General features: G+C 53.0%; 1 protein-coding gene across 19 annotated transcripts in view, besides 1 other annotated feature; it reads left to right on the top strand.

Moving 5' to 3' along the window:
- Window positions 1,285–1,554: an enhancer, noted in NCBI's record as "active region_4163". NCBI's record gives its function as "activates an Ori minimal core promoter by ATAC-STARR-seq in GM12878 lymphoblastoid cells {active_cell/tissue: GM12878}" and the evidence as "EXISTENCE:reporter gene assay evidence [ECO:0000049][PMID:35858748]".
- CHST15 (carbohydrate sulfotransferase 15) overlaps window positions 14,503–16,185 on the top strand; it is an 85,931-nt gene continuing 84,248 nt past the window's right edge. For 7 of the 19 annotated variants that reach the window (NM_001270764.2, XM_047425324.1, XM_047425327.1 and 4 more), the window contains exon 1: window positions 14,503–14,632. The gene's annotated coding sequence lies outside the window, so the exon portion shown is untranslated. Of the gene's footprint in view, window positions 14,633–14,773; window positions 15,392–15,694; window positions 15,875–16,185 lie in introns of those variants that run through there. The other 12 variants (NM_015892.5, XM_047425328.1, XM_017016320.2 and 9 more) reach the window with 6 other exon arrangements.

Below are 16,185 nucleotides of genomic sequence, written 5' to 3'. Positions count from 1 at the left end.
CCTGGATCAGGACTCGCCACGTGGCCCCGCATCATTGCAGAGGGGCTGGGAAATGCGGGGAAGCACATGGATACTCGACCAGCAGTAAATGTGCACCACTCAGAGGGTGGAGCCAGGGGGCTTCCAGGCTGGGGGAGCTGGGACAAGAGGCAGAAGGGCATCTGGGAGCCATCAGTCCTCCGGGTGCCTTCAGGGTGATGGCAAGGAAGGCGGGGGGGCGCTGCTTGGTGGCAAGGATGAGACAGTGGGTCGGGCTGGGCTGGGCCGGGCTGGAGAGCTCTGGCTACAATGAAATGAAGGCAGCGGAGCGTATAGGACACAGAGACCTTTTGGGAGGCTGTTGCAGAGATCTACACATGGGGGATGGACTCCTGAACTGGGGCTATGGCAACACAGCAGGGGAGGAAGAGGAAGGGCCTTAAGCTATCAACAGTGGAATCCAGCTTGGGACGGGGCAATTCCCAGACTCCTCACTTGGGCGACTGTCATTCACTGAGCTTGCGATCAGGGAGACTAGGGCAGCTTTGGGGAAAGATGATGGGCTTCTTGATGGATTGCCCCAACAGGCAGCAGGATACAGCATTAGAGGGCTCAGAGAGACCTGGGCCAGAGTCATCAACCTGCTGAACACCAGGTGCCCTGGCCACCTCCCCTCACACCCTGCAAAGCACCCACCACCCTTCTGCCTCTGACCCCTGCTGGGCACTGCTCAGCAGCCAGTCCCCAAAGAACAAAGGGGAGCCTGACAGATTAAAAAGCCCCGTGTGTTATCCTGGCAACAGAAGCTCGGAAGCCAGTGATCAATTCCCAGTCTGAACATAAGTAATCCCAGGACAGGCAGGGGTGGGCCGGAGGGGGCAGACATGAAGGTGCTCGTTATGGCCAGTGGAAGGATGCTTTTAACACAGAGATGGCCAGGGCACATCACATAAATATCATGCTTTGCAATTGTGGAGGTAATTGAAACATGATTAACCCCCCTGGTCTTTGGTCGTTGGGATTTGGAATCCAATATATTATGAACACTCTGTTCTGAAACTGGCTCTGTCGGCCTCTCCTCTGCAGACAGGAGCTGTTCTCATAAGCATCATAAAAAGCTTCGTGCATTATTGAACAGTGGAGGTAGTTTTCCTGTGCCCTGAAGTCCTTTGCCATTTTCTCTGTTGCATTCTGGCATTTATTTCAAACGCTCCTTTCAAGTCAACACAGACCCACCCGTTCAGCCTCCAGGAAGGAGCCCCCTCAGCCCCAAACACAAGCCCTCGCCTCTCACTTCTGGGAAGAATCAGGTTATCTGGAGGTGAATCAGAGGCTAGCTCTTTACAAATCAAGCAGCGTCTACATTACATTCTAGCCATTTCACAGATGGGTAAACAGAAGTGCAGAGGAGTTAAGTCATTTGCCTAGTTCGCTAAGCAAAACCAAAATAGGGTGAAAATGGAAACCGAAAAACCTGTTCTGACTTAGGTAAATCATGGCCACACCCTGTGCTCTGCAGAGGGAAAACACAAGCTCTACTGGACAAGTGAGGATGAAGCTACCCCTGAATAATCCCAGTGGAAAGTGGCAGGCTTGGGAAATAGAGTCGTGCTTGCTGGAGCCTCTCTGCCTCACCGAGAGGCCTGAGTGCCTTTTATTAAACAGAGGACTATTCAACAATAAATATTTCTCACACAAGGCCGGAGAAGTTACCACACTTGGCTCCCTCCCAGCCTGGCTGAGTCAGCAGGGAATTTGCCAAGGTGCGGAAACCTTGTGTTCTGTGATTTTGGTGTGTTGATATTTTTTAAATACTGAGCTGGAAAGCCTGAGGACTGCAAAACACACACGGATGCACCAACCCCATGGGTTCTGATCCTGAGAAACATGGGTTAGGCTCCTAGGGTGCTGGGAAGCTACAGCGGGGAATGGGTGGGTGGACGGATGCTACGGGGGATTTGGGAAGGGGTCAAAAGCAATGCTGTCTCTCAAATACAAGTTTCCTTTTCTATAGAATGGTTCGAATAAGGTGTAGACCCAGGGATGCTGTGAGATTAAGATTTTCGAAGTTAAGGGGCTTTAGCAGGGAGAGCGCTGGACTCGGATTTCAATCCTTCCTGATACAGTTATGACTTATCGGCTGTGAGTCCCTGGGTAAGAGGTTTCCCCTTTCTGAGCTTATTGTTTCACTTATAAAATGGGGCATTAATATTTCCTACACGAACCTTTAAGAGATAGGTACCAGGGCCCAAAGAACTGCATGAATATAAGTGCGTTTGCACAGAGATACTTACGGCATGATTATTTTTGGTGTGTTGCTACTGCAGCACTTTGCCTGGGGCAGGTCCTGTTCAGCCTTGGGACCTTGTTTATTTGTATTAGGCTTTTTGATGAGACTGGGGAGAGCTCCTTCACTAGGACTTCACAGAAAAGAACTCGTCTGTCTTTCCCTTCACATAATTAATATTCCAAATAAGAATTACACAGCCATTTCTATTAATATTTGATTCTTTGCCTCTTCAACTATCGGCTTAGTTTTCTGACTGAGATGAAAGAAGAAATAATTGTTTTTACAGCCACTCCTACTGAGGAGGCAGCTGTAGACCCTGATCGCAGCCAGGGAAGTAACAACTTTGTTTGGCCTGAGGACAAGAGGTGGGATGACGGTGTTAGCCTCAGTGGTTCCTGTGGGGAGAGAGAAGCCCCCCTCGGCTGCTTTTGAGGCAGATCCTGAAGGAATCGGCTTCTGAGTTCTGAGTGCCTTGGAGGCATGGGGAAGGCCTGCTGGAAGGCTGGTTCAGATGTGCTCCCTGCTGGGAAGAGATTGGTGCTCCACTCCCAGGACTTATAGAAGCCCAGCCTGGGGGAGGCAGATAATTAGCAGATGGGGCCAGAGGGTGACTTTCAGCTTCGACTCCAACACAGCCCCTGTTGGGCACCTGCAGGAGGCAGACAAGTACCTGGCTCGGAGGACGACTGGGCACGGCCTCCTCATCTTGGTAAAGACAATGGGGCTTCCCACTCTGGAAGGACAGAAGCCAGCCCTACACATGGTGCAGTGCCTGGGGGCCTCTGTGGTCCAGGAGATGTCCTTCTCCACTCCTTCACTTCTCAGAGGCTGGGCTCCTGCCTCCTGGAAAATTGCCACCACCCGGGGCCCAACCAGAGGCCAGATATCCCCAGAGGCATGGGGATAGTGAGGGGGTAGCCCCTGATCAGAGTCTCCACCTGGACTGAATTCTTAGAATTTTATGTTGCCCCAGCATCCATTTTGAATATAAATTTAACTTTCTCAGACCAGAGGTAGAGCTTGGACCCACCTGACAGTTTCCACTTCTCTGGCTCCTCCCAGTTCCTCAATGTGTTTGATCCAGACCTCTGCCTTATACCAGGCCTCCTGGTGACCATGTCCCCCACCACCTATGGGACAGCTGGGTACAGCCTACTCGATTCACCCCACTGACGTCCAGACTGCATGGACTGAGCAGATATGCCGCAGCGACCCCCTCTCTACCACAGCAACCCCATGGAACGTGTGCCTGCTTGCTCTAAACCCACCAGCTATAACTCCCATGGGAAACCTGCTTAGATAAGGCCCTGGACCCCAGTAAAGGTTCTGGCCCATGGGTCCCCCCGGCCCTGCTCCCGACGTGCTGGTGGAGCCTGTGTGCCCCAGACAGCTCCCTGCTGCCCGCTGGCCCTGAGGCATGCTGCCCTCTTCTCTCTGGGACCTGTAAGTAATAACACCTGGTTCTGTTATTTCATGTGTTTTGCTGAGTTACCTCCTCTGTGTCTCACTTGACTGACACACCCAAATCTACCTTCCCTTTTGCTCAGTGCTGTCCTAGAGAGTGGCTGTCCTGGTAGGAATAAACTGGACACAAGTCAGGCAAGAGTCACAAGGGCATCTGCCAGCACAAAGGACAGGGACACCTGGTCATGGGTCAGACACTTAGGCCTCAATCAAGCCGTTCCCCAGGGCAAAGAAGCATCCCATGAAAGGTACACAACCACCTCCCCTGCAGCGCTGTCAGGGCAGGGCTAGAGCTTATAGCTGCTCTCCTAGGAGAGACCTGAAGGCCACATTAGGGGACAATATAACACCAGCCTTGGAGCCTTTGCAAACTCTGTTCCAAAGCGAGAAGTCATTGTGATGCCATGTTTAGAGGCAGGTGGCCCCAGGCAGCAGGGACACCATCAAAGGTGGTGTCCACCATCAAAGGTGGTGTCCACTGTGAGTTGTGCCCCATCTGTAGGCCCTGCTCCACCTCTGTTTTGTCCTAGTCTCAGCTCCATCACCCCTCTACCCCCTCCCGTGATAGAGCCTGGCCTGGCTTGGGAATAAAAGGAGAAAACAGGAAATAGCAAACCGCCCCAAGGATTGTAATTGTGACACTGTCATCTGAAAATGTTTGCAGTCCTTGTTGGCATATGCTGCTGGAGCAAAAACATGCAAATCTGGAGCAAGGTGACAGGTGGCCCTTAGGATCCTGGAGGAGACCCCTGGGTTCCAGTTTGGTTCTAGTCTGCTGGGGTGGGATTCTCAGACAGCATCTGGCCCATTTCTGGGTTGGATGGTACTCTGAACAGGGCACTGATTCAAGGGCCAATGAGTCCCATCCCAACTCCTGCAAAGCTGTGTGCATTTTGCCAACTGCATGAGCTTGTAGACGGGGCAGTGTCCTCTCAGTCCTACTCAAACCCTTGCAGGCTCAGCTTAGCTGGAGCACCTGGAAGCCATTGGTGCAGAGCCACAGACTCAGCCGCTGGTGTTTATCACCCCAGAGGTTGCAAAGTGATGGCCTGTGGGACTCTCCTGCAATCTGATGGCATTGGTTCTCACTGTGTTGTACAATTATTTTTTCTGATTTAGTTGCCCATCCAAGATTTATTTTTTAAATTGGGCTATTTCACAATAATGTTCAAATTTCAGACTCCCGTCCTCCATCCAGCGGGAGCTGAGACATAGCTGCTTCCTTGGATGGGCTGGTGTGCTCCACCGTGCTGAAGACCCGTTCCCTGTTGGCCACCTCAGGTCCTCTCATTCATTTCCCAGCCCCCCTCGCCTGGGTAGGTCAGGACTGCCCAACCATGCTCTACACTATCTAAGAGAAGCCAGAACAGGGCAGGTGGCAGGCTGCGGTGTCTTTGCCTGAGCTAACAGGCATGCCCTAGTATAGTGCCGGGCACAAGGTCACTGTGGGATGAGCATTCTCTTGCCCTGTCCCTTGCAGTGAGGTCAGAAGAACACTCACTGCCCCTAGACCCTGTGCTCTTTGAGGGGGATCAGCTTCTACTCCCATCCTTCCCCTGTGGCTTCAGCACAGCCAGTAGTTTGCTGTATCCTTGCTCAGCCCCTGTCCTTGGAGACTGGGGTGGGCTGGAGACCTGGACTCAGAGAGGCCAAGAGGCCAGGAGGGCTGGCTTCACCAGGGACCAGAAGGCCCAAAGCCCAACTCTGGATGGAGGGACCAGCTGTGAAGCTGGCCTCCCTCAGGGTTTCAGGGATGTGGCCCACAGGTGTAGGCCCCTGAGCTGTGTCTGGGCTCAGAACACGACACCTCAACCTCCTCAAATGCTCAGGACATAAGAGGCTTAGCAGACAACAAAGTAGTACCCTCTTAGACCTGGGGATGGCGGGAGGGGCAGGGTTTTCACTGGATGCTGGAACCAGGGTATGGAGGGCCCTTGGGCCCTTTCCCAGAGCAAGCTTGGGGCAGAGGGTGGGGAGCATGAACAGTGCTTCCAGGTCTTGAGTCTTAAGGGCAGGGGGATTGCAAGTGGGACCCAGAGAAGAAGGTCCAGTCCTGAGGTGGGAGGAGGGGCCTCAGAGGCCATCTCTGAGCCCAAGCTTCCCTTGCCGGAGTAGTTTCTCCCTGGCTGCTTCTGGTGCTCTCTCCATCCTCTGGCCCCTCTCCCACCTGCATTCCTCTTCCCCCTGCACACATGCAGTGTGCCCAGACAGGGCTCACCCAGACCACAGGGGATCCTAGGCGATGCAAACATCTAGCACTAAAGACAGCACGGCCACAGACTAAGAAGGGCATTTTGTTATCAGCTTTCTTAAAATCAGAAAGATAAAAATAAAACTGATGCATGTTCTTAAAAACTGATCCCTGTGAGAAAGCCTGCTGGACCCTGGGCCCTAAACTCTGGCACTCACTCATATTCCTGTTAACAAGGAAAAAGGACTCATTAGTACCTAGCTGGAGTTGAGTAACCTTTGTTTTCTTTTCATTGTATTTACTTTGTGATTTTTTTTATGGTAAATGATGGTGGTTTTTCCTTTGTGATGAAGACAAAAATTGTCATTTAAAATGCATTTTTAAAACCCTTTTTTAATGAATGTTTCCAAATATAGACCAGAAATAGGGATGAATGCCAGCATGCCACCAGCCAGCCTCAATGACCTTGGCTGGTCTCATTTTTTGACACCCCCAGCTCATCCCACAGCCCATTATTGAAGCAACTCCCAGCCACCATAGAACTCCACCTGTGTATATTTCAGTGTCAACTGCTTCTGTGTGACTATATCAAAAGAACATGGTGAGTCAGTCATTGCACAGGGAGTCCCTGTGTAAAGCAAATCCCTGAGCATGGCCTGGAGTGATGTGGCTGGGAACACTTGCCTGGGCTGGCTTCTCACTGAGTGCACAAGAACTTGCACCTGATGGGGGGCAGCCACCTGCCCCAGCCCTGACGTGCACATGGCACCTGGTTCTTCCCTGTCTGTAGCCTTTCAGACCGTGGGCCTCCCAAGGGTGGGTGGGAGTCCTGGAGGCTCATGTGTGATGTCCCTGGAGCCTGCTCAGAAAATATTTCCTGAAGAAGTGGGACAAGCTAGCTGGTTGGAACTCCTAACACAAAGGGTGAGGTAGGCCGAATTTTAAATGACCCCTGGGATGGTTAATTTTTGTGTCAACTTGGCTGGGCCATGGGGTGCCCAGATATCTGGTCAAACATTTTTTTCTGGGCCTGTCTGTTGGGGTATGTATTAGTCCATTCTCACGCTGCTAATAAAGACATTACCAGAGACTGGGTAATCTAAAAAGAAAAAAGGTTTAATGGACTCACAGTTCAGCATGGCTGGGGAGGCCTCAGGAAACTTACAATCATGGTGGAAGGGGAAGCAAACATGCCCTTCTTCACATGGTGACAAAAAGGAGAAATGCTGAGTGAAGGTTGGGGAAAGCCCCTTATAAAACCATCAGATTTCATGAGAACTCACTCACTATCATGAGAACAGTACCAGGGTAACGGCCCCTGTGATTCAATCACCTCCCACCAGGTTCCTCCCAGAACACATGGGGATTATGGGAACTACAATTCAAGATGAGATTTGTGTAGGGACACAGCCAAACCACATCAGAGTGTTTTGGGATGAAATTAATATTTGCATTGGTAGACGGAGCAAAGCAGACTGCCCTCCCCAGGGAGGGCGGGTCTCCTCTAATTCAATAAGGGCCTTAATAGAACATAGGGCTGAGTAAGAAAGAGTCCTCTCTCTCTCTGCCCCACTGTCTTTCACCTGGGATGCCGGCCCCCTCCTGCCTTCAGAGTCGGACTCAGGCAGAGACTTGTGGGCCAGGACTCCTTAGCTTTTATGATCATGTGAGCCAGTTTCTTATAGTGCACAAATACCTACATGTGTGCATTTACACATACATCCTTATTGGTTCTGTTTCTCTGGAGAATTGTGACCTTTTCCCCCATCACCTTTACCTGTGCCCTGGTGTCATGCTCGTGAATATGTTGGGTTACGTAAGAAACGAGACTCTACAAATGTAATTAAGGTTACTAATCAGTTGACTTTAGCAGAGGGGGTTATTTTCGAATTATCCTCGGTGGGCTTAATGGAATCACATGAGCCCTTAAAAGCTGGCAGAAAAGGAGGGCAGAGGGGTTTGAAGAGTGAGAAAGACTTGAAATGCTGTTGCTGTTTGGAAGGTGGAGAGGGCCACATAGAAGGAATGGGGGTGGCCTCTAAGCATAGAGAGTGCACCTATGTTGGCACCCAGCAAGGAAATGGGGACCTTAGTTTTATCAGCAGCTAAGACTTGGATCCCTCCCCAGGACCGGTAGGTTTGAGCCTAGCCTGACCGACACCTTCCCTTCATTCTTGTGAGACCCAGAGCAGAGACTCCACCAGAATTCTGGTCTACAGGCTGTGAGATTAAAAAAAAAAAGGATGTTGCTTTAAGTCATGAAGTTCTGGTAATTTCTTACTCAGCAACAGAAGGTCGATTCAGAGAGGGAGGAAATCCCTTTCTGTTCACTTCTCACAATGAGTGATACCGATTTTGGGTGACCCTTGACAGGGGACAGTCCCAGAAGAGAATCCTCTTCCACATTTCATGTCACGGGGAGGGATGTGAGGCTCAGAGGGGGTCACAGCAAAGGAGGAGTGGAGCTGAGGTCAGAGCTGGAGTCTGGGTGCTTGCAGCCCATGTCCCAAGTGCTCAGGTGAGCCTAGCACGGGTCTGGTGGGGGTGGGGCACACCCCTGAACAGGTGCTCACACCACTCCCCGCCCCCAGCTCTCACCCACACCCACAGCCATACCCACAGCAGGCTTCAATTTTGTCTAAGCAACTCCTAAGAGCCAACCCCCATCTAAGAGCAGGGAGTCCCTGGAAGCAGACACCAGTGTTCTGTGGTGGCATTGTCACAGGACTCATCTTTTCAGAACCACTCTGTCTATTGCCCCTGAGCCACTTTGGGAAGCCATGTGGATGGAGCTGATGGGTGTCCAGGAGCCAGGGAGGGAGACGGGCCCAGGGAAGAGGCAGGACCACAGCTGCACAGCCTGGCAATGTGGACTCGGACCTGGCTAACCTTGTTGGTGCAGGGGAGGCGCTAAGGATGGGCATCAAAGGTGTTTAGTCATGGGGCTGACAGGATCAGATCTGTGTTTTGGGAAGACCCAGGCTGTGTAAGTAGAAAGAACCAGTTAGCAGATGTCGGGAGAGGAGGCAGGGAAAGTAGCAGGAAGAGGCTATTGTGACAGCACCGAGGGATACACGAGACCGGTCCAAACCAGCAGCTCTCAAAGGTCAATGCGCGCTGAGGGAGCTTGTTAAATCCACAGGTGCCCAGGTGCCACCCCAGACACTCTGATTCAGATGACTGGCCCCACCCCACTGTAATAGAATCTCTGGTACTGGGGCCTAGGCATCTGCATTTTGAAAACTGTCCGGGTACTTCCAAGATGAGCCAGGCTTGGGAAGAGGACGGTGGCTCACTGAACTGGGGTAAAGGAGCAGCAGTAAAGATGTCATGGAGACTTCTCCCACAGGCGCCACCTGAGAAGGTGCACAGTGGACACTCACAGAGCCCGGGGTGGTGGGGGTGAAGCAGGTCTGGGTTGGAGCTGGCAGCAAAGCTGGGCTAGGGAGGAGTGCCCGTCGTGATGCACTGCTCGCCGCGTCTGCCTGTGGGTGTTCATTTCTATTATCCTCCTAAGCACCGCTTTGTAACATTTCACTGCATTAAATGCTCAACCAGGAAGATGAAATTTATTTAGAAGGCTGAGGTATTTCACATCTAGGGCAGGCGACGCTGCTCTAAATTTACCAAGTCAACAGCTCATTTTTGCTGTTGAATGGGTTGTAGATCTTATGACAGAAGCAAGTAAGTGAGAACGCTACCAGCTGTAAACTTTATCTTATTGGCGAAATGTCTATTATGCAGCTAAAAACATCTACTTAATAGGTGCTGTCCTTCAACAGTTGGTAGCAACAGAGTCTTACGTGGTGATAACAATGACATTATGTCTCTTTTATCACCTGTAGGTTCTTTGTATTGTCAATTACTGGCTGCGTATTCCTTCCGGCCTCAGAGGCTGTAGGATAAACAGGTTGCACCATTATGATGATGTGGTCATCCCTGGAGGCACTGGGGGTCTGCATCTGATTTTCCTTCGGAGGCTTCTGCCTGTATTTTAGGATCCCCAGTCTTCATCAGGACATAGTGAAAATCATATGAAGCTAACGAAGTCTGACGGATGAGTAAGTGCTAATCAAGCCAGGTGATTCCAACTGGGTCATTCGTAAACATTTACAGGCTCTGAGCTAGGGGAGGGGCATGCAGAGACATACAGGACTCCGTTCCTCTGGAATAGAGTTCTGAAATCTTAAAGCTGCAGCAGCACTTTTGGAACAAGCGAACCGCCCCTCAGGGGGACCCTGTAAGAGCAGACGGCGCTCGTGAATATACAAGTCTGGACATTGGTTTAAAACAAGCCCCATTCCTTTTTTCACTGAAGGTTTGATGCAGAGCCGAAGTCTGCTGTTCTAAGGAACCACTAGTTGTTATTGTCCTAAATCCGGTAGAGGTTTTGGATGGGGTGTAGGAAATTTTCACAAGAACCCAAATTTCACGTGGATTTGTGATGGATTAGCATACCAAAATGGGCTTAAAGTGCACTTAATGGATGCATTACTGCAGAAGGGAGCCGCCTAACCAGAGCATTGCTAAATTTATGAAATTGAAATGCACTTCAGGTTATTGAGCAGTCTAAATTTGTCAAAGTCACAGAGTGGGAGGCAGGTCGTTACTGGTGGCAGAGGTGGCAGAAATCTGAAGCCAAGGCTGCCAAAATGAATTTGAAGTCCTCCGCAATGACCCCAAGGGCTCCCTCACACCCAGGTGCAGCCCTTTTCAGTGGCAGGAGCAGGACCTGGGGCTCCTGAGCCTCAGTGTTTACTGAGCCCCTCCTAGCATGCAGGAGGCAGAGAGTGACAAGGTGTGTCCGTTCTTTGCCCTGCCCCACAGCGCTTCCCTAATGGGTCTGCCCACTATGAATTTGAATTCATGGGCACTGGTGCACACTCATGGAATAGGCATGGCCTTTTGTCTTTGAGTGTTTGGTTTGTAAGCCTCAGTCTCCCGGCCTGAAAAATAGGGATAAGTAATACTGGCCTCATAGGCATGGGAAAGTGCTTAGCACAGTGCTTGTCACAAGGTGGGACTTTGAAGGTCCCTTTCTTCAGGAGGGGGCTGAGTCTTAGTGACCTTAGTGGTTCCCACATTCAGCCCTGTGAGTGGCACACAGCAGGTGTTCAGAGAGTGTCTGCTGAATGAATGAATGAATGAGTGAGTGAGTGAATGTGATTTTAAGGATTGTGGCAAGTCCCTGACATTCCAGGTTGCTGGTGTCCTTGTAGCATCTCTTACAGAATCTTTATTCAAGTTATACTTATTCATGGATTCAACCTCATTACGTAATTGCATGTTAACAAACATTCAATTATGTGACTATCATGGGTAAAACTACTTGCAATAATAATGATTACTAATAAGAACTACTATTTTCAACTCTTACTGTGTCCTAGGAATTGTGCTGAGTATTTTTAAAATACTTTGTCTTCAGTCTTGACACTAGCCCACTGAGGCCATGTATCAGCCAGCTACAGCCACAACAATGCTGTGTAACAAAACACTTTGCAACATTCAGTGGCTTGCAACAATAAGCATTTTCCCTGCCTTGCTCATGTTCTGTAGGTTGCCTAAAGCAGCTCTGAGTCCTGCTGTATGTGGAGTGACATGGCTCCAGACAGCGAATCAAGTTCAGGTTTCTTCCTTGTGTGTTCATTCTGAAGCCTCTCTGGAAGAGGCAGCAACATGTTCGTCTCATGGTGGACCACCAGAGCAGAGGAAAGCAGGTCTGGCCCTGCAAGCACATTCCAAGCCTCTGATCCAGTTATATTCCCCATTATCTCATTGTCTAAAGCAAGTCCAAAGTCAAGGAATGGGGAAGTACAGTCCCTGCACTGGAAGGCTGTGACAAGGATGCAGACGTGTGATAACCACCACGGGAGAGTGAGGAGTTGGGATCAACAGCTCAATTGACTGCTCGTAGGTGCTACCAGAAGCCTCAAACTGAGGCATGGAAAGAAGTGACTTGCCCAGGGTTGCTCAGCTAGTGGGTGGCAGAAGTAGAATTTGAACCCAGGCAATTTAAATCCACAGTTGTGGGGGCCTAGAGTGCACACACGGGAAGCGGGGATTTATTTTCTGAAAGTATCTGCATTTTTTTTTCTTTTTTCTTTTTTTGAGAGGGTGTCTCACTCTGTCACCCAGGCTGGGGTGCAGTGGTGTGATCTCGGCTCACGGCAACCTCTGCCTCCCGGGAATCTACGGGCTTGCGCCACCACGCCTAGCTAATTTTTGTATTTTTAGTGGAGACGGGGTTTCACCATGTTGGCCAGGCTTGTCTCGAACTCCTGACCTTAAGTGATCCACCCGCCTCGGCCTCCCAAAGTGTTGTGATTACAGGCGTGAGCTACCGTGCTTGGCCGGTATCTGCATTTTTTTCAGCCGTGACTTGCTAATACCATGTTGGTATCAACCTCTCTTGCAGTTACACATTTATTTGTCTATCCTTCCACCCATCCACAGGGACCTGGCATTTGGGTGTTCTTTCAATTCTCTGCAGTAACAGGCTCAAGTGCAATTCTTGGGTAATTTTTTGAAATTAAGGTTGAAAGGAAAAAAATCACCTTCTAGTTAATCTCAGGCACGTGTATAAATACCTTTGGAAAGTCCCTGGTGGAATTCATATCAAAGCGGCACCGTGATTTTTACTTAAAAACAATTTTGCTCCATGTCAACCGTGGTTTCTGACACCTGAATTTGAAAGTGATCTGGGTGGGCCCAGCGCCATCTCCATAACGGAGTTATGTGTTTACTTGGAGGGAGGAGAGGAAAGGCATTATTCCCTGGCAGTATGTGTGGCCCTGGAATAATGTTCCACACACCCTTACAGAAGGGGATTTCCTCCTTGCTGTTTCCACAGACCCTTCCCTGTGTTTGTTTAAACCCGTTGCACACTGGTCTGACAGCTGCCTGGCCCAGGGCCTTCCTTGCAGACGCATGTACAACCAACCCTCTTTAACAGCAACCTGCTCTGTGTCCCCTGATGCAATTACTCGAGTATATAAACCTCACTGAAAGGCAGGCTTTTCTTGGGAGCTAATAAATAAGCCCCAAAGCCACAACGTGTGTGAGACCTTGAAAAATGGCATCATCATCTATTGGGAATTGTGAACCCTGCAAAAAGCAGCTCGTTGTATTTTCAGAAATAGGTTTTTGTTTAAAAAAAAAATAAAGAACAAAAATCACTAAGTGGAGTCTATATGGAAAAAGCAATCTAGTCTGAGATTCTAAGGCAAGTCTCTTTGCTGCATTCATCTTTCTTCGCAGATTTTATGTAAGAGGCATTATTTGCAGGAAAACAAGACAGGATTTTAAAGAACTCCCCTCTCATCCCGGTTTCCCATCTGCAGTTATAATCCTCTGATGGTGACCTCTGCATTAGTTGCCATGGGTGCTGAGCAGAAGTTTATGACCTCAGGGTGGACTGTAGCTTCAGGGGGGCGAGATGAAGCCTCCGGCAATAAAGAGATAATGGGGAGAAGCCACTGTCAGGAATGACCCTTCGGTGGCATGTAGTCTACAGTTAACGGAGCACTTTCATTTCCACTTCTGGTTGCTTCGAGGAAGAGGGTGCTGGACTCTGGCCACGGGGACACAGGCCGGCAAGAGACTGCAGATTCTTTTTGTCCCTTGGACCTCAGTTTCCTGAGAGGCTGGGCTTGGTGCTCCAAGCGCCCTCTGAGCGAATCTGCCAGAATTTCATGTGTCTTTTCTTTAACTGATGGCATCTTCAGCCCAGAGTCAGTGGAGTCGGCCACTGGTGCCGCTTTCTTGCCCTCGGGCTGTCCAGGTGGTTCCCTGGGGCAGCCGACTCCAGGCCACTGCGGCAGGCCGTGGCGATCGGGGTCCTGCAGAGCTTTACCTCCCCCGCGGAAGCAAAACACGCCGGGCCAAAGAGCCGGGCCAGCCTTCCCGGGATGCAAAAATACAACAGAGGGCGCCGAACTCACCAGCGCTGTGGCCTTGAATATTAATGTACGGGCTGGCTCCAGACCGCCAAGTTCCTTAAAGATGTCTCTGGCGGCCGGGCGCGGTGGCTTACGCCTGTAATCCCAGCACTTTGGGTTGGGGGGGCGGACGGATCATCTGAGGTCGGGAGTTCGAGACCAGCCTGACCAACATGGAGAAACCCCGTCTGTACTAAAAATATAAAATTAGCCTATTTTGCGTGGTGGCGCATGCCTGTAATCCCGGCTACTCGGGAGGCTGAGGCAGGAGACTCTCTTGAACCCGGGAGGCTGAGGCAGGAGACTCTCTTGAACCCGGGAGGCGGAAGTTGCAGTGAGCCGAGATCGCGCCATTGCATTCCAGCCTGGGCAACAAGAGCGAAACTCTGTCTTTAAAAAAAAGAAGTATCTGGCAAGGTGTCACTGCCAGATTTCAGGGGTTTCGATGTGCTTTTATTTGGAATCACCGCAACACACAAGCAGTGTTGACTCGGAGGGGGAGGGGGCAGGGGCCAAACCCACCGCTCGGCGCACACGCCTTGATCTCACATTCCAGACTGGAGCTGATGTGTGTCAGCGCGACATGGGGCGGGGGGAGGGTTCTCCTCGGATGTTTCATTCGCCGTCTGCACGTCACTCCCAAACTTTTCCTCCCAGCGCTCGGGGAGTCAGGTTGACGCGCCCTGGATGCGGGGCTAGAGGCTCGGGGCTGGGCGCGCTCCCGCGGAGCCGGAGCCGCAGAGGCTCCCGGGCTGGACTCAGGCTTCTCAGGTACAAGTTAGGTGCCAGACGCCGAGGTGGGGTCGGCGAGGAGCGGCGGTAGGAGGTCTGGCCCTGGGCTCGGGGCTCCGGCGCCCCTCCGCGGGTTCGGGCCAGGCAGCGCCGGCGGCGGCCGGGGCTGGGCGTAGGGAGTCCGGGCCGGCGGAGGCGGCGCGCAGCCTCACTCCCCGCGGCGCTCCCGGCGCGGTGGTGGCGGTGGCGGTGGCGGCGGCGGCCCAGGCAGACAATGAACTTGCGAGCTCGACGAGCCGAGGCAGGTTTGGGCCCCGGGCTCCTTGGCCCGGCCTCCCCGAGGCTTCAGCGATCCCCAGCGGGAGGAGTCCCTTCGCCATTGGTCCTGGCCGCGCTCCGGGCGCCCTGCGCGCTTGAGGACCCCGCGGGAAGGGTTACCCAGCGGCGACACACGCCCCCTCCCTCGCAGAGAGGACGCGGCCGGAGCGAGGGGACAGGGGACCGAGCAGTGGCGTGGTGGCGCCGTGGATAGCCGGAGGCCGGCGGGGGGCGCAAGCCGCGTGGAACGCACCGGCGGGCTGTCCGGGAGAAGGAGCCCAGTAGTCGGAATCGGGGCGCCCCTGCACCGCCCAGCTCTGGGAGCCGCAGGCGGGGGACCGACCGACGGACAGACCAGTGCTTTCACGGTGTGAGCGCGCGTCGTTTGGCGGTAGGGGACGGGGATTCCCCCCAGCCTTGCGCTCCGCCCCCACACCCCTATCGCACTTTGGGGAAGTTTCCAGGCGCGGCCCGGGGCAGGTAAGTGGGCATCCGCCACTCTCTCCCCGGTTGCGAGCTCGGATGCGCTTCCAGAACCCTGGCTCTAGCCTTGCGGCGGTTCCGGGCGGGGAGGCCAGAGCTCTCCCGCGCCTAAGCCCGTGGGACCCGGTTCAGGGAAGGGGGATGGCGGGGGCGGGCCTGGGAAGAGATAGGGGAGCGGCTGAGCCCCGAGCGGTGTGAACTTTTGCTCCCCGCCCCCTCCTCCTTCCTCCTCCCCGCCCCGCCCCCACTGCTGTCCCCTCCCTGCGCCCCGCCGCGTCTCGGGAGGCGGCGTGACTCGGGAGTTGCCGGCGCTTCCCGGCGGTGGCGGCGTCTCTGGCCGGCCTTGGTGCGGCGAGCCGAGCGAGGCAGCTCTGAGCCGCGCGGTGAGGCCAGAGGCGGGGAGCCGGGGCTGCGGGGCGGCGAAGCTGGGGAGCCGGATGGCAGCGGCCGGGGCGCGGAGGCGACGCTGGCGGTGGAGATGTAATGCGAGTCTGTTGGGTTGTGTGTGCCGGGAGATAGGACGCGGTGGCTGTGGGTGGCTGGGTGGCGGGCTGTGGCGCAATTGGCCCCCTGGGATGGCAGGATAGAGGCGCCGGGGCGAAGGGAACCTTGCCTTTGGGAAAATGAATGAAGAGCCGTGGAAGCACCTTCCCGACTCCTCCAGGCAACCGATGGGCCGGCGTGCGCGCGAGTGTGTGCGTGTTGAGGCTTCGGAGCCGCCCGGGTCCTGGGCACAGCTGCTTGACCTCCCCGTCGCTGTCCGGGTGCCCACGTTCCCGCCCGCCCTGCGC

This window comes from Homo sapiens, chromosome 10 (genome assembly GCF_000001405.40).
Source record: "Homo sapiens chromosome 10, GRCh38.p14 Primary Assembly".
NCBI lineage: Eukaryota > Metazoa > Chordata > Mammalia > Primates > Hominidae > Homo > Homo sapiens.
Note: the sequence above shows the minus strand (reverse complement) of the source record. Positions and strands in the feature narration are given on the sequence as shown.